Genomic DNA, 18,426 nt, shown 5'->3' with positions numbered 1-18,426 from the left:
CGAGGATTAAAGAAAAGTAAAGCAAAAGAGGGGGGAAAGACATTTTTCTTTGTGTTGGATTGTTATTTGTCTTTCTCCGGTGTGAATTGTCTGTTTGAACCCTTTGCTCATTTACATATTGGGGTATTGATGTTTTGCTTACAAATTCCAGTGAGCTCTTGAATTAAACCTTAGTCTGTCCTTAGACTAAGGTTTCTCCCTAGAACTTTCACTTTTATTTTAATCATGTTGCTCTTCCTGTTTTCTGCCTGGGGGAGCCCACCATTTAGGACTAGAAGACAAGCTTGGGCACTGACTGCCCAGCTCCTACAACTGGCACCACCGAGGTCCCAAAGAAGAATATTAATAAAAGCACTGTACTGGATGCTCTGGGTATATCTCTTCTACTCCTCAAAGTAACCCTGACAGGACATTGTGCCTATGTTACAGATGTGGAAACAGGCTCAGAGGGGTGGCGCGTGTGCTGCAGGTCTCACAGCAGGCACACCAGAGGTGGTGCAGGTAAGCATTGTCTCTGGGTTTGTTATCCTTTTCCACAATACCAGCAGCCTGCGGAGGAGTAAGAAAACATCTGCTGCCAACATCTCCAGGTTTGTGACTTCAAACTCCCCTGGCAGAGGAGGGAACTACCATATTTGGGGACAATTTACATCAAATTACCATGCACCAGCCAACAGCTGCCGCCTGGAGCGGGAGGCTGGCTGCACAGAGCCATCACATTTATACACATGATAATGAAAACCCGCACGCGGGCCTCCACGTTCTCCCATAAATATGGTCATTATGATCTTGTTGGCATTGCTTGTTGAATTCCATCTTGCAAATTGTTTCCTGGTTGCCTAGGGGAGCTGACTTGGGCTCTTCTCAGTCTCCTTTCCTCTAGACATGACAGTGTTTGGGGTTTGCCCACTGTCCTCAGACCATCCTCTGGCACAATTCTCAGGACAGCCTCCACCCCATGCTATGAGCAGTCAGCAAGTTCCCACTGTGTGCACCATGCGTGGGACTGATTGCAGAGAGCCGCAGAGCTGAGAGGGCTCTCAGGGCAGCTGACAGGCCCACTCCTGCATTTTACAGACTGACAGGATACAGGACAGGAGTGGGGTCAAAGTCCAAGATTAAAAAGGACCCTTTGCATACCCTCCCTGTGCTGAACCCTGGAAGGGTAGCACACAAACCTCCCCAGGGCACCCAGGGCTTAGGCAGGCCATGGCTCAAAGTCCGCACTGTAAATAATAGAAATCTTTCTCAGCTAGCTGGAGGACAGGGAGTGGCAGTGAGGAGATTTGTTACAAGGAATCTCATGAAATCCAGGGGCTAAATTGGGCCACATCTCCAGAAGGACTAGAAACAGGAAGTGGAAAGCCAATAGGAAAGCAAGGCACCCTCTTCAGCTCTTGTCTGCTTCCCTCTGCAGAGGGACTCCGATCTCCTGTCTTTGAATGAACATCCCCTGTTCCTCCCTGTACGTGGTAGAACATGGACACCCCAAGTGTCATGTTTCTATGTGACAAGTCCAGCCATCCACAGGGTGGCTGTCTCCGGCGTCCCAATTCTAAATTACCAAAGAACTGAAGAATGGGCTCTAACGGGCTCATCTTGGGTCAGGTGCTTACTTCTGGTGCCATCACCTGTAGCCAAGAGGGTCAGCTCAGCTTCTAACACATGGCAGCTGACAGCCCATCCTTGTGGGCAGGACTGCAAGATTACAAGGAAAGGGAGCTGAGAAGATGACCAAATTGGCTTCTGCCATACCTTCAGCCTAGTACTATTTTTGAGACACGGTCTCTCTATGTTGCCCAGGCTGGTCTTGAACTCCTGGGCTCAAGGATCCTCCTTCCTTGGCCTCCCAGAGTGCTGGGACTACAGGCATGTATTAGTTCATTCTCACGCTGCTAACAAAGACATATCCAAAACTGGGTAATTTATAAAGGAAAGAGGTTTAATTGACTCACAGTTCAGCATGGCTGGGGAGGTCTCTGGAAACTTACCATCATGGCAGAAGGGGAAGCAAACATATTCTTCTTCACATGGCAGCAGGAAGGAGAATGAGTGCTGAGCAAAGGGGTAAAAGTCCCTTATAATACTATCAGATCTCTTGAGAACTCACTCACTATCATGAGAACAGCAGCATGGGGGTAACTGCCCCCATGATTCAATTACCTCCCACCAGGTCCCTCCAACAACATGTGGGGATTATGAGAACTACAATTCAAAATGAGATTTGCATGGGGACACAGCCAAACTATATGAAGGCATGAGCCACCACACCTGGCCTAGCACTTTTTTAATAATTAAAAATTTTCCTGAGATAACTGTAGAATCACATGCAGTTGTAAGACAGAATGCAGAGAGAACTCTTATGCACTTTGCCAAGTTTCCCCTCAATGGTGACATTTTGCAAGACCATAGTATAATATCACAATCAGAATATTGATATTGATAAAAGCCACACATCTCATTCAGATTTCACCAGTTTTACTTGTACTCAATTGTGTGTGTGTGTTAAGTTTTACACAATCTTATCCCCTGGGTAGATCTTTGTATGGGATACAACCACACCATAGTCAAGATATTGAACGGTTCCAACACCACCAAGATTCCTTGTGTAGCCCTTTGTGGTAAGCTGAATAATGCAACTACCACTATCCCCCAAGAGATACAGGTCCTAATCCCTGGAATCTGTGAATGTTATAGGGACTTTGCAGATGTACTTAAGTTAAGGATCTTCAAAGGGGGAGATGATGCTGCTGGATTATCCAGGTAGGCCCTAAAAGTAATCACAGGGGTTCTTGTGAGAGGGAGGCAAGAAGGTCAAAGCAGGAAGTAAGAAATGTGATGATGGATGCAAGAGGCTAAGGTGATGCAAGGAAGAGGTCATGAGTCAAAGAATGCAGACGGCCTCATGAAGCTGAAAAAGGCAAAACACAGGTTTCCCCCTGGAGTCTTCAGTGGGACTGCGGCCCTGCCAACACCTTGACTTTAGCCCAGTGAAACTAATTTTGGACTTCTGATCTCCAGAACTGAGAGAGAATACATTTGTATTGCTTTAAGGCACTAAGTTTGTGGTCATTTATTACAGAAGAAATTAGAAATTAATATACCCTTTTATGAAGAATTCAGCAAAGTTTTTGGATACAAAATCAATGTATACAAATCAGTAGCTCTTCTATACACCAGCAATGACCAAGCTGAGAATCAAATCAAGAACTCAACTCCTTTTACAATAGCTGCAAAAATAAAATAAAATACTTAGGAACATACCTAACCAAGGAGGTGAAAGACCTCTGCAAGAAAAACTACAAAACACTGCTGAAAGAAATCACAGATGAAACAAATGGAAACACATTCCATGCCCATGGATAGGTAGAATCAATATTGTGAAAATGACCATACTGCCAAAAGCAATCTACAAATGCAACACAATTCCCATCAAAATACCACCATCATTCTTCACAGAATTAGAAAAAAAAATCCTGAAATTCATATGGATGAAAAAAGAGCCCACATAGCCAAAGCAAGACCAAGCAAAAAAGAACAAATCTGGAAGCATCACATTACCTGATTTCAAACTATACTATAAGGCCATATTCACCAAAACAGCATGGTACTGGCATAAAAATAGGCACATAGACCAATGGAACAGAATATAGAACTCAGAAATAAACCCCAATACTTACAGCCAACTGATATTTGACAAACCAAACGAAAACATAAAGTGGGGAAAGGACACCCTATTCAACAAATGGTACTGGGATTGGCAAGCCACATGTTGGAGAACGAAACTGGATCCTCATCTCTCACCTTATACAAAAATCAACTCAAGATGGATCAAGGACTTAAAGACCTAAAACTATGAAAATTCTGGAAGACAACATTGGAAAAACCCTTCTAGACATTGGCTTCGGTAAGGATTTCATGACCAAGAACTCCAAAGCAAATGCAATAAAAACAAAGGTAAATAGCTGGGACTTCATTAAACTAAAGCACTTTTGCATGGCAAAGGGAACAGTCAGCAGTGTAAACAGACAACCCACAGAGTGGGAGAAAATCTTCACAATCTATTCATCTGACAAAGGACTAATATCTGGGATCTACAACAAACTCAAACAAATTAGCAAGAAAAAAACAAACGATCCCATCAAAAAGTGGGCTAAGGACATGAATAGACAATTCTCAAAAGAGGTTATACAAATGGCCAACAAACATATGAACAAAATGCTTAACATCACTAATGATCAGTGAAATGCAAATCAAAACCACAATGTGATATCACCTTACTCCCGCAAGAATGGCCATAATAAAAAATAATAGATGTTGGCGTGGATACAGTGAATAGGGAACACTTCTACACTGCTGGTGGGAATGTAAACTACAACCACTATGGAAAACAGTATGGAGATTCCTTAAAGAACGAAAAGGAGAACTACCATTTGAGTTAACAATCCAACTGCTGGGTATCTACCCAGAGGGAAAGAAGTCATCATATGAAAAAGATACTTGCACATGCATGGTTATAACAGCACAATTCACAATTGCAAAACATAGAACCAACCTAAATGCCCATCAATCAATGAATGGATAAACTGTTGTATTATACACACACACACACACACACACACACACACACACACATATATATATTCCATCATATATATATGATGGCATACTACTCAGCTATAAAAGGGAATAAATTAATGGCATTCACAGTGACCTGGATGAGATTGGAGACTATTATTCTGAGTGAAGTAGCTCAGGAATGGAAAACCAAACACTGTATGTTCTCACTCATACGTGAGAGATAATCTATGAGAAAGTAAAGGCATAAGAAAGACACAGTGGACTTTGGGGACTCAGAGAGAAAGGGTGGGAAGGTGGTGAGGGATAAAAGAGCACAAATTGGATGCAGTGTATACTGCTCGGGTGATGGATCCACCAAAATCTCACAAATCACCACCAAAGAACTTACTCACGTAACCGAACACCACCTGTTTCCCAATAACCTATGGGAATAAAAAATTAATAAAAAAGAAATTAATATACCCTTTTATGACTGCACCCACCTCCATCCCAGCACCTGCCCTCCCCAGCAACCACTAATGTGTCTTCAATATCTAAAATTTTACCATTTCATAAATGTTATATAAATGGAATCATACATATGTAACATTTTGGAATTTGCTAGAGAGGGCCAAGAAGGGCCTCTGGAGCTCCAGAGAGAGAGAGATTGGGTTGGAGATGCAGGTTCAGAGGTGATGGTGTCCCATGGCTACAGGAGCCCAAGGGTGGCTGAGATTACCCAGACAGAGAAGGAGGAGGGACAGCAGGTGGGGCTGTCAACATTTAGGGGATGAACAGAGAAGGAAGATCCTGGGAAGGACACTGAGAAGGATCAGTTGGAAAGGGGGGTCGTCACAGGACTCACTGGTAGGGCTCAATGCTTGGTGGCCATGACATTTACTAGGGAGGACAGGGCATTCCTGACAATGCTGCCTTCTATGGGGTACATCCTGTGTGCTTGGCCCTGCTCTGTGCCCCGCTCAGTTCTTACCTCACCACCTGTGAGATAGGTTTTTCATTTTGTATTGTTTTGTTTTGTTTTTGAGACAGGGTCTCACTCTCTCAGCCAGGATGGAGTATAGTGGCGTGATCAGAGCTCACTGCAGCCTTGACCTCCTGGGCTTAAGCAATCCTCTTGCCTCAACCTCCCATGTAGCTGGGACCACAGGCACGTGACGGCATGCTTGGCTAATTTTAAAAAATTTTTTGTAGACAAGGTCTCATTATGTTGCCCAGGCTGCTCTTGAATTCCTGAGCTCAAGCAATCCTCTCCTCTATCTTGGCCTCTCAGGGTGCTGGGATTACAGGTGTGAGCCACTGCATCTGGCTGAGATAGGTATTATTACATCAATTTAGGTGAGAAGACCGGGGCTCTGAGTGGTGAAGGGACCTGCCAAGGACACCTGGCTGGTAAGTGGCAGAGTTGGGAATGGAACCTGGGCTGTCTCTCTGGGCTCTGGTGATTGTGTGTTAAACTCTTCTGAGTCAGAGAGAGTGGGGGCAAAAGAATAGGAGTTGGAATGAATTGGCTTGGACAAGTGCATGGGCTGGGGTGCTGAGGAAGAGGGCGTGGATCTGAGCCACAGCCTGCTGGCATCTGTGGAGAGGACAGCACTGGGGGTGGGAGGAGGGGGAAAGGGGAATGTAGGGCATTGTTGAAAGAGGAGCTAGTCCAGAGGAAGAGGCTGCAGACTAAGGAGAGACAGACAGACAGACAAGAAGCCTGGAAGAGTGGGAGCCAGAACCCAAGGGGCTGAAGGGCCAGCCCTGCACCTGGTGAAGGATGCACGTTAACAAGAGGGCCCCTTCTGGGGCTCCCTCCCTTTTCCTAGGTCTCCCCTTAAAAGAGGGGAACTGGCTCCTCCCAAGGCTCCTTTGCCCCTTCTCTGAGCTATCCACACCCCCCTTGTTGCCTGGTGAGGAGCAGCAGGGGATTCTAAACAAAGACATCAGGGAACTGGAACAAGAATGGATCATAACCATCCCAGCGCCTGCCAAGTCCCCCACCCCTCACACACACACCCCTGGGCTCCCGCAAACACTCCCTGGCTCAGGCCCAGCGCGGGGCCTTCTGGTGAGAACCCCTCCCTGGGAGTGCAGCCTTCTGGGCCGCTTTCTTCTCAGTAGGACTGAGCTGTCAGGCGCCTCCCAGAGATTTCAAGACGGCTCCCCTCCCCCAAGGGATGCCTTTGTCTTTGTCTCCATAGAAGAGGCAGCAGCAGGGGGTGGGGTTTGGAAGAGGGGAAATGAGACAGGGTCCTTGCACCCAGAAAGCCTAATTGGGGTGAAGGGTGGCCAGACACGGATGCTTTTTGTGTGGGTCATAGGAGCTCAGAGGACTGAGAGGTCCCTGCCTTCTGGAAGGTAGTCAGAGAGGACTTCATGGAGGAGATGGCCTTTGGGCTGTCCTGGAAGGACAGTAGATTAGATGGGCAGAGATGAGGAGGAAGAGTGTTTCCAAGTGAAGGGACCACATGACCCAAGGCTCGGAGGTGGGAGAGAACCAGGGGTACTGGAGAATAGGAGGTGGGCCCGTGTGAGTGGCCCTGAAGAGTATGGGTGGAGATGCTGGGGAAATGGGGAATAAGGCCAGAGAAGTCCCAGGCCAGCCGGATGGCAGAGGGCTTGATTGTCAGCTGAAGAGCATGAGCCTGGTTTCTCAGCCCATGGAGAGCACCGAAAGTTTTGATAAGGATAACGGCCCTGGTCCTTGGGGTGGAGAATAGAATGAGTAGGGTGAGGTGGAGGCAGGGAGAACAATGTGGAAGGGCTATGGCCTGGACAGGGCAGTGGCTGTTAGGGTGGGGAAAGATGCACATGTGAAAATCACCTTCAACAGAAGGAAAAGCTTACAGAACATGGACTGGGGGGAGGGGTGAGAGAGAACAGGTAGTCAGGGATGATCCTCAGGCCACACAAGCAGGCCCTTGGAGGTGCAAGTGGGTCAGGTGGAGAGTGTGGTTGGGGCGGGGGTGGTAGTTTTCTGAGCACAAAAGTCTGTGTCCCTTTGGGCATCTGTGGCTGGGAAGGAGGGCTTTGCTCCGGGTAAGATGCAGGTGGGAGGCTGCAAGCATGTTGTATGTGGCAGGGCTAGGTGCTGTACCCAGGCAGACCCAGGACCTGTCACAGGAGAGGTGTCTCAGGGAAGAGAGCAGAAGGCAGTAGCGGGCAGGAGCAGGGGATGAGCAGCCACTTGCCGCCACATAGAATGAGTAAAAGGAGAGTTCGGGGGTTTTTTGCACTCAGAGGTGATTCTGAACTGGACCTTCCTTTCCATTATCCCATTATCAATGAGCACCTCCCACGTGCCAGCTAGTGGCAGAACCATGGTGGCTTCCAGCCCCAGCCCCTATTTTTAAAGAAGTTTCCATCTGATGGGGGAGAGAATGGGTTCCAATATTAGGCTCACCATGCTCAGTGCCATGAGAGAGGGACAGAGGGACAGGTCAGGGAAGGAACCCTCAAGGAGGTTTGCTCACAGGGACATGGGGAAAGGACAATTCCAGGAGAAACAGCCTGAGCAAAGGCCTGGAGACAGAAGTCCATCAGTGTAGACTGAGCCCAGGCAGATTTGGGAAGGGGAGAAGGGGAGACAGGAGATGGAGAGACAGAGGAAGCAGCTCTAGAAAGGCAGATTCAGGTGGATGCAGGTGACCTGGGTTCTGGCTATGGATGGGAGCTGTAGTGCAGGCAGCAAGGAGGGAGAGTGGGGTAGGCAGAAGGGAAGGATGATGGAAGCTTTTCATAAAGGCAGAGGCAGGGTGGTTGCTGGGCCTGAGAGGTCAGTGGGCCCTGGCCGCCTGTCTCGCTCGCCAGGACCTCTCCATTTCCATTACTGCCTGGGTCCTGACTCCTTTATATTACATTTCTGGATCACCCACTCATAAATCCTCTTCCTGCCTGGGGCTGGGAGCCCTTGAACAGGCAGCAGCTTTGATTTAAAGCAGGGCTGGCAGTAAAGGGGGAACAAAACTACCCAGAGAAGAACACAGGCAGCAGAGGCTTCCCTGGGGGAGATATGTAATTAAAGTGGGGCCGCCTCTCTCTTCCTGAGAGCTTCCTAGAGGATGGACGAGGGGAAGGTTGCCACCTGCTACATCGGTCCACTGGGCCAGCACATTCCCAGTTCCAGGAGGACAGGGCCAGACTCAGAGCTGCACACACTAGACTCCAGCTGAGCTCCCTGCTGTAGTCAGCAGACTTCTAAGATTGTCTCCAGTAATCCCCACCTGCTAGTAACTATGCCCTTGTTATGGTGGGAGTCTGGGGTGGATCTAGTGACTTGTTTCTAATGGATACAGACACATAGCAAATGAGATGGGTGCCACTTCCATGACTGGGCTATTAATACGAAAGACTGTGAATTCCTTCTTGCTAACAGTCTCTCTCTGTCTCCCCCTCCCCCTGCCTCTTGCCTTCTTGGTTTGCACACTTTGATCAAGCAAGCTGCCATGTTGGAGTGGTCCACATGACAAGGAACTGAGTGGGGGTCTCTGGCCAACAGTTAGAGAGGAACTTAGGTCCTCAGTGCAACAACATCCAAAGAATTAAATCTCATCAACAATCGCATGAATGAGATTGGAAGGAGATCCCTCCCCCAGGCATCATCAGATGAGACCACAGACCCTGGGCTGACACCTCCATTGCAGCCTCACAGAAGAGGCTGCATCTGTCATCAGATGACATAGAAGATATCGCTAAGTCATGCCTGATCCCAGGCCCACAGAGACTGGGAGAAAACAAATGTGTACTATTTTAAGCTGCCAAATTTTAGGGTAATATGTTACACAGCAATAGATAACTCATACACCTGCTGATTTGAGCCAGTCAATTCCTTGCTCTGAATCCCAATGTTCCCATCTGAATAAATGGGCTAATAATACTCAGCCCAAGGGATTGATCAAAGATCAGAGCCAAAAGCAGATGGGAAAGAGCTCTGAGTGCTGTAAAATGTTGTGTACATGGGATGCATTTTTGTGAATATAATTATCTCAGTGAGGGGTTGGGGAGAACATGGTTCTTATCTTGACTTCTCAACTTATAGACTGAGAGGCCTTGTGTAAGTCAGTTAACCTCTCAGTCCTCAGCTTCCTCATCTGTAAAAGGGGTTTGTTGGGAAAACGAAAGGAGAATTCAGGTAAATCATGCAGCATGTGCCTAGCGTATAGTAGGCACTCAGAAAAAAATCATGGCCCTTCTTGATTCATGTTGTTACTGTTGTGGTGATTCTGAATGAGATGAAGGGATGAGGACGGTGAATGCTGGTTCTTCCCACTGCACTGGCGCAAGAGCCTTGGCATCTGCAAGATCTCTGGACCACCAACCTGATCTCAGCCGAGTGTGCCTCTCTGGGGAAGCTGACAGCAGAGAGCAGATTGATCCTGCCCCAAGAATCACCCTATGCACGAGCTTGTTAAGGCTGCCTTACTAAGGAGCTGCTGGCAGAGAAGCACCTGACATGGAGGACGCAGAAGCAGAGCTGGCCCTGTGGCCTGTTCTGCAATGGACTGGCTGCTGTTTATTCTGTGTTTCTGAGACCAGCCCCAGAGTGCTCTGGGGATGCCCTGGAAGTCTTTGATGGGAAAGTCAGGCTTTCTGAGCAGTGACAGTGATGTTTCGGAACCAGGTCAGACAGCATGTGTTCTGAGCTGAGGATGCAGAGTGATGATGGGAGATGAAGGAGAGGAGGGGTCAGAAAGGACATCCTGGGGACAACATACACCTTGGTTAGCGATCACCATTCCTGGTCTCTGTTGGGTGTTGGATTCTGACTGAATGGCCTCTGGACCTCCTGTCACCTACTGGTGAAGGCCTCTCTGCCACCCTCCTGGGCCAAAGTCAGCTGGGTAAAGCAGAGCCATTGGCCCTGAGAGGCACAGTGACTTACTTGCACAGGGCCACTCAGCCAGTTGGTGGAGTAGGAAGCAGAGAGTGAGTCTGTCCAACCTCAAAGCCCATAAGAAAAATCAGCCTACAGGAGCTGTGCTTTGAAGGCTGAACTCATTCCTGGTCGTCGAAAAGAGAGGATGAAATTGCAGAATTTGGCACATTTTAATCCTGAAGTTTTTTATTCAAAGGATGACCGTCCTGCAGCATCAGAGCCCAAGTGTGTCCTGTTCTGAACAATAGCAGAGACAATGACTATAAATAGCTGCCATGAAGGTAAAGAGTTAGGTTCCCATGGAGAGACAATGGCATAGGAGACGCAACTGGGGTGGGGGACAGGTGTCAGAAAAGTGTCCTCTGAAAAACCAACATTTGGGCTGAGACCTAAAGGCTGAGCAAGAATCAGCCAAGGGAAGGATAGAAAAAAGAGAGTCACAGGAAGAGGAAACCATGTATGCAAAGGCCCTGAGGCAGGAAGCTGTGTGCTGTGTAAGTGATGGAAAGGAAGCAAGTCTTCCTGGAGCTCTGTGAACAAGAGGACGATTGCTTGAGGCCAGAGGACCCCCGAAGGCCTTGATAAGAAGTTTAGATTCAATTCTAAGTGATCCAATTCCCATTTTTAGTGGGTTAGACCTCAAGGAGTCTAGGGGTGGGAGTAAGGGAGTGATAGATGGATTTGGTTGGAGATATTGCCATGTTCTGATATTAGTTAGAGGGGTAGTGTATCTGGCAGTTGATGAAGAGATGAATAAGATAAGGGAAACTCATTGGAAAGCACCTAATGCCTTCGAGTGGGGTAGCCTCAGTACCCCTGGGCAGCTGGAGAGCTTGCTCCAGGCTTTGAAGGGCTGGACTATCAGAAGCCACGGTGCTTGTCCATGTGCTCTCCAGAGTTTGCCCTTGCTCTCCAAGGACATTTGGACATCTGGTCCAGGCCTGAGTCACCTTCTCTGCCAAGTGATCACATTGACAGGCTCTGCGGGCAGGAATCTGCTCTTTGCCTCTGTGGTAGTCAAAAGAATGTCTCGAGAGATATCTATGCCCTCATCTTCAGAATTGGTGAATATGTCAGGTTGCATGGCAAAAGGAAATTAAGGTTGCAGATGGAATTAAGGTTGCTAATCAGCTGACCTTTAAACAAGGGGGTTATCCTGGATTATCTGGGTGGGCCCAGTGGAATCACCAGGGTCCTTTAGATGTGGGAGAGGGAGGTGGAAGAGGAGGTTAGAGTGATGTGATCCATGGATCTGAGGAGGACCTGATCCATGATTGCTGGCTTTAAAATTGAAGGAAGAGGCCATGAGCCAAGGAATATAGACGGCCTTTGGAAGCTGGAAAAGACAAGATATGGAGTCTCTTCTAGAGCTTCCAGAATGGAGTCTTTTCTAGAGCTTCCAGAAGGGAATGCTGCCCTGCCAGCACTTTGACTTGAGCCCACTGAAACTCATGTTGGATGTCTATCCTCTGGAAGTTTAAGATAATACATTTGTGTTGTTTAAGCCACTGACTTCATGAAGTTTGTTCTAGCAGCAATAGGAAACTATAACAGTTGCCCTCCCCGACATGGGCACCATCTCTCTGTGGGTGGGTGGTTTTTTCTCAAGCCCATAAAGTCACCTTTCCCCCAAACCCAGGCACAGTGGAAAGAGCACTGGACCTGAAGCCTGGAAACCTGGGCCTCAGTCTCTGCAGCTTTGTCAACTACCTGTGAGACCTTGGGCATCTCCCTCTGCTTCTCTGGTCTCAGTCTGCAAAGGGGCTAATACCCACCCCGTATGACACCTTGCAGGGGGACAGCATTCTGCAAGCCATAATGTGGTGCACATGTGGAAAGGATATTCATGGTGCAGGGGGGTGACATGCTTTAAATGTTTGTCCCCTCCAAACATTTCATGTTGAAATGTGACCTCCAATGTTGGAGGTGGTACCTGGTAGGGAAGGTGTTTGAGTCACATGGGTGGATCCCTCATGAATGGCTTGCTGATGAGTGAGTTCTCAGTTCTCACTCAGTTTAGTGAGATCTGATTGTTTAAAAGAGTGTGGCACCTCCCCACTCTCTCTCTTGCTCCTGCTCCCACCATATGATATGGCTGCTCCCCGTTTGCCTTCCATCATAATTGGAAATTTGCCGAGGCTCTCACTACACTTCCTGTATAGCCTGCAAAACCATGAGCCGATTAAACCTCTTTTCTTTATAAATTGCCCAGTCTCAGTTGTTCCTTTATAGTGATGCAAAAACAGACTAACACAGGGAAGAAGTTCGTAGTGCTCGAAGACCAGATATTTAAATGAGAGAAAAGACACAGGCATGAGGAAAGATAACATAAAGTGGAAAAGCTACAGGGAGATGTGACTGTTGGGCCCCCATTCAAGACTAGAGCTGGGCAGCACTGAATGTGTACAGGGGATGGCAAGTCCCAGGACACACAGCTAGTGAAGCTCATGAGGCTGGAAAGGCAGGCGAGAGCCTGGCCTCACAGGGCCTCGAGTGCCAGTGTATTAGTCTGCCAATAAGGATATACCCAAGACTGGGTAATTGATAAAGAAAAAGAGGTTTAATGATCTCACAGTTCTGCATGGCTGGGGAGGCCTCACAATCATGGCGGAAGATGGAGGAACATTGGCACCTCTTACATGGTGGCAGACGAGAGCATGTGCGGGGGAACTGCCCTTTATAAACCCATCAGATCTCCTGAGACTTATTCACTATCATGAGAACAGCACAGGAAAACTGTCCCCCATGATTCCATTACCTCCCACCAGGTCCCTCCCATGACACATGGGGATTATGGGAGCTATAATTCAAGATGAGATTTGGGTGGGGACAAAGCCAAACCATATCGGCCAGACAGAGCCGCCCAGCCTTTATCCTGAAGACAGATTCTGGGGAGCCCTAGTGGGGACCCAGTAACTTATTGGAAGGCCATGCCAGGGGGATGGGGCGCAAGGAGCACCTAGGAGACTAATATAAGAATCTTAGCTCAGGGTGGGAGGGAGGGTCCTCAGATAGGTGTGAATGCTCAGTTCACTCACTCATGACTCTGCCCTTGCCAGCTGGGAGCCCTTGAGCAAATCACTTACCATCTATAATCTCAGTCTTTCTCCTGTTCAGTGGGGCTTGGTGGTGGTGCTAACTCCATTGTAGAGTTGTGGGGCTCACCCCAGAAAACACACCCAACACCCTTGATATGGACCTCCTTGTGCTGCCCAAACCTCCATGCTCCCCTCTCACTATCCAGTGACTTCCACCCCATCAGGTGGACATGTTGGGTCCCTTCATTGTCCTTCCATCCACACCTGTGGCCCCCCTGCAAAAGCAACTTCTCTTTCCTGTTGTCTCTCTATCCTTTCCCAGCAAGGGCTTCTGATGTGTGCTCCCAGCATCCCCACATTCTTCAAAAGACGTGTTTGGAAACAAGAAATTGCTAGAGAGATGATTCAGTCCTTGGCCTCAGCTTGTGTCTGGACATAAGCAGGCCCATCTGTGGAGGCCGCACTGCCAAATTCTGTCACTCTTGCTCCATATGGTCTGTGCCCCCCTCTATCTCCCTCCCAGAAGCTGCAGTCTGTGCCTGTCTCTCACTCTGCTTTGGTTGCTACATGGAAAATTCAGCAAGGGATGTCTTGACTCTAGTGAGCAGGCATCTCTGCTCCTCTCCTGCCTTGCCTGGGACCACTATGGGGGCAAATATTGGGGGTGGGGCGTTCTGGGCTCCTTTGGAACCTCTTCCTTCTTGTCCACATAGGGCCACAGTGTGGAGTCCTAGAGCTGAGAGGAACAGAGGGAGGCTGTCAGCTCCTGCCTTGGAAGTAGAGGTCTCTGTGGCAGAAAGTAACTTCCTGAAATGCTGGCTCTGTCGTTCACGGGTCCAGTTCCCTTGTCCTAAACAGTGATGTCAGACAGCCTCTTTCAACCACAGCCTTGCTGGCAGGAAGCTGGACTTGGCACTAAAAGACCTCAATTCATATCAAGCTGTGTGACCTTGTGTTATTGGTTAACCTCTCTGAGTCATCTTGTGACAGTTGTGAACTGCGAGTGGTTATTCATGCCTTGTTCACCTCCTAGGTTGGTTGTTGGGGTCTAATAAGATGCCCATTGTGAAAGAGCTTGGTAAGCAGTAGGGGAGCAAATCTCAAAGTGTGGTCCCTGGGCCATCAGCCATAGCATTACCTAGGAATTCAGGAATAATGTAGACCTACTGGTCCTGAAGCTCTGGGGGTGGAGCCCAGCAATGTGGATTTCCACAAGCTTTCTGGTGACTTCAATGCCCACTAAAGCTTAAGAAGCTCTGGGAAGATGAGCATATGGATGAGACCATCCCCATCTCCTCATCAGTATATTGGCTCAGAGAGTCACCTTAAGTGTGCCGGGGCCTGTGCCACGTTTGGCTGTGTAAATATTTCATTGCAAACAGTCTAAGGTTTAAAGATCTGTGTGATTTCATCTGGGCAAATCCATTTCAAAATAAATTCATGATGTTTATGGGCAGAGAGAAAAAGCAACTTCCCAGGGAGATTTAAACCCAGGATGGCAAACTCAAAGCCTTCGGGAGCTAAGCAGGTGATGCGAATGTGGGAAGAGGTTGGGGTAGGACAGGGAGAGGCAGAGTCTGGCTGTGCTGCAGAGCTCAGCCCTTACCTAATGGCATTAAAAAATAACAAAAACCCTGATCTGGCCAAACAAAACACATATGTTAGACAGATCTGGTTCAAGGTCTGCCAGTTTTTAACTGGTACAAATGCTGAGGGGTGGGGAGGAGAAAAGAGATTTGGTCTCAACAAAGCTATGCATTGGCCACAGACTTAGTTGCCCTGGAAAATAGTGTTTGGCATGCAGTTATAATTCCCAGGTTCCGCCTGGGTTAACAATGGCATGATTTCATTAATTTGCTTGTTTATTTATTCCACACAAACTCTTTTCTAGGGCCCATGCTAGGTTCTGTGGCCCCAAAGCTGAATTAGACACTTTCTCTCGAGGGACTGGACATGTCTGTGGATGCCTCCTGTCCATCGTTTTACAGCATTCTGTGGAGTGCTACTTGACGAGCTACTGGGTATTCCACGGGGAAAGTGGTCCAGGGTTAGCTAAGCATGGAAAGCGCCTAGTTAAACAAAGTTACTTCACTGCAGGACTTCTCAGAGCCGTTGCTATGCTAATGTGTATTACACATTAAATGACCTCAAAGTGTCTGGGCCTCTCTGGGGTTCCTGATGGGCCTGTATGTCCTGACCTGTACTGGGGCTGGTGAGTAGATGTGGGATCCCCTAGAGGTGTGGCAGGGCCAGGGACCTGCTGCGCTTAGGCTTGGAGGGGTCTTCTTCCCCTGGGACCTTCAGGATCTGCAGTGAGACACTGAGGGGACAGTCCTCAAGGGGTGGATTTCACTTTCTGTGGCAGTAAGAGAGCTCAAAGGGTTTAATGCAGAGGTCCCCTGGTTCCATTTGCATTTGAGAAATATGACCGTGCTGGGGACGGGGAGGAGGGATCCACATCGGAGAATGGAGAACTGTCAGTGTCCCGTGCAACAGGAATGCTGAAACCTACTCCCATGCCAGTTTCTGTTTCTGGATTTTATTACCAAGAAAGGGTGAGAAAGCAATTTCTGTATTCAAACAGGGCTTGATCTCTTTCCTACAGCACATAAGCCACTGATCCACCAAGGAGCTTGAGGAAGCCTCAGACAGAAGGCCTTAGTTACGTTAACTGCTGCTTTTACAACCGAGGCTGGCTCTGACTTCTATGAATAAAATTTAGAGGTTCAGGACAGATCTGAAAACCAATCTCTCCCTTTTTCTCTTCTCAACTCTCCCCACTCATTGTCTGAGGCTGGCGCGCGTGCTCTTTTCTCTTTCTCTCTCCCCACCCCCTTTCTTGCTATCCTGCTGGCTCTCTCTCCTTCTGCCATCTATGAAGTCAGTCCAGTTTGGGACTCGATATCTCTTTGTTCTGGAAATCCCCACAGCAAAAGGAGAATGAATTGCCCTTGGTCCAGGATAATCTTTTGCCGAATTAAGATGGAAGCACATTCATGAAAAACCACAACACAAAACAAAACAAAAAATCCCAACTTCCCTGAAAACATAATTCACAGAGATCATGTCCAAGAATAACTTCTTGAACTAATCAAAACTGATTCCAAAATTGCCTCCGAAGTATCTCTGATGGCTACGTTCAGTTCAGTTTCAGATACAGGGGTCTTACGTCCACAGTGGAAAGGGTGAGAAAGTCTCACTTTCTTGATAAACCAAGTCATATTTAAGAAAGGCCTGGGAATATGAAAGTTTACTTTAGAAGAATCAGAAAAAGCTGGACGCAAGGCAGGGGCAGCATTTTAAAATGTCTATGTGAATCCCCCACAGCGCGTGCCGCACCATTGATGTATTCACGCGGAGCTCTCATTCATTTAATCCTCCTCATTACCTATGTTCTGTGGTCCGGGGAAGTCAAGCACTTTCCCGAGGCCACACAGGCAAGAAAGGACAGCTCTGGAGTGAAATGCTGGTGTACCAGGTTTAGGCCAGTCCATGCTGTGTCTGGGATGGATCTCGAAGGGTCTGTGCATCTGGGGGATAGCAGGAGAGAGAGGTTTTCGATTTGCTGGAGCAGCAGGAGGCGCCTGCTGGCCTGTCTCTGTGACAGAAGGGAACGGGACTCTCCCCACAGACGGGCCTTGGGGATTTCTCCCCCTCACTCTGTCCTCAGTCCCTCCCTTTGGCAGCCCTGGGTCTGTCAGTTTGCAGGGGATACACCAGCCAGCAATCCCAAGTCATGCTCCCAGGCCAGGAAAAACATAACAGGAAACCTCCTCCCGGTCTACAGGACAGGTTCCCCAGACTTCAGCAGACCCACGGAAATCTGCTTGCATGGATCTGTAGTACGCAATGACAGCCTGCTTGGCCATAAGATTCAAGGCTCACATTTCTCAGGTGACTGGAGGGGGTTCTAACTCATGGGGGACTCTGGCTTCCATCTGGCCAAGACTACAAAGAGCATCTCTTCCCATGTTGATGTGGCTGCCTCTTGCTTTGAGTCTCATCCTGTCTTTGGTCTGTATGCGAAAGGCAGGTTTGAGCCTGCAGGAACAGCAAACAGGAATCCTTTCTCTTCTTCGGGGTTTAAACAATTACCGATCCCACCCAAAAACAGACTTGGAGCTGTCCCTAACCTTCCTACAACAGAGACAAAGGAAATAGATTGCCTTTGTATACATTAAAACATGGAGTCTAGAACAATGGAGGTCAAGGCTCCACCTTGGCCACAGCTAGGATGTCCTGATCCAAGTAAAACCAGCACCAAATGTATCCTCATGGCTGGTGGGTAATTGTTTAAACAGGAGCCATGCTGCTAAAACACCTGCTCACCCAAGCAGTTTCCAAGGTCACAGCTACTATACTTTTGTGATTATTTATCTAATCCCACCTTTCCCAAAGCATCTTTCCCTATAGGATGTTAGTAGGTGTTGTATGGGGAGAAAGGTTTCTACAGTAAAATAAAGTTGGGGGAATAGCTGTATTCAAGAAAATTAATTAGGTTTAACTTAAAGGCTTTTCAGAGCCTTTAATATGCTAATGTGCTTTATGCATCTCTAATGGGGGAGTAGGCAGTATCCTCCCCCCACCCCGCCCCAAATTGTTGACCATAAATCCGTTTTTACTCCAGAACACCTCAGGGGACAAGGGCTTCGTGAAGTACATTGTTGGAAAGTAGTTCTTATTTTATACCCTGGCTATACTTTTCTCAGGATTGGTACTAACCACAGAATGGAAAAGGAGGACATTAGAGAATGAGGCTGAAGGGAGCATGGTGGCTGGACACCTCCAGACAGCTGAGAGGTTCCTAATGGCCAGGGCAGGAAGGGAGACACTGGGCCACCCTCACAGCTATTGTTTTGTGTTTCTTGAGATGTTTTCACCCCAGCTCCTTCTTCTGCCCCTAACCTGAGTTGCATATCACTTAATATTAGATTTGGTTGCAAATAG

At 48.0% G+C, this 18,426-nt stretch overlaps 1 long non-coding RNA gene across 2 annotated transcripts in view, besides 1 other annotated feature; it reads right to left on the bottom strand.

Moving 5' to 3' along the window:
• Positions 1 to 18,426, bottom strand: part of LOC107987065 (uncharacterized) — a 65,083-nt gene that overhangs the window by 27,562 nt on the left and 19,095 nt on the right. The gene's annotated exons all lie outside the window — the stretch shown is intronic.
• Positions 14,194 to 14,283: an enhancer, noted in NCBI's record as "active region_28414". NCBI's record gives its function as "activates an Ori minimal core promoter by ATAC-STARR-seq in GM12878 lymphoblastoid cells {active_cell/tissue: GM12878}" and the evidence as "EXISTENCE:reporter gene assay evidence [ECO:0000049][PMID:35858748]".

This window comes from Homo sapiens, chromosome 9 (genome assembly GCF_000001405.40).
Source record: "Homo sapiens chromosome 9, GRCh38.p14 Primary Assembly".
Taxonomy (NCBI): domain Eukaryota; kingdom Metazoa; phylum Chordata; class Mammalia; order Primates; family Hominidae; genus Homo; species Homo sapiens.
Note: the sequence above shows the minus strand (reverse complement) of the source record. Positions and strands in the feature narration are given on the sequence as shown.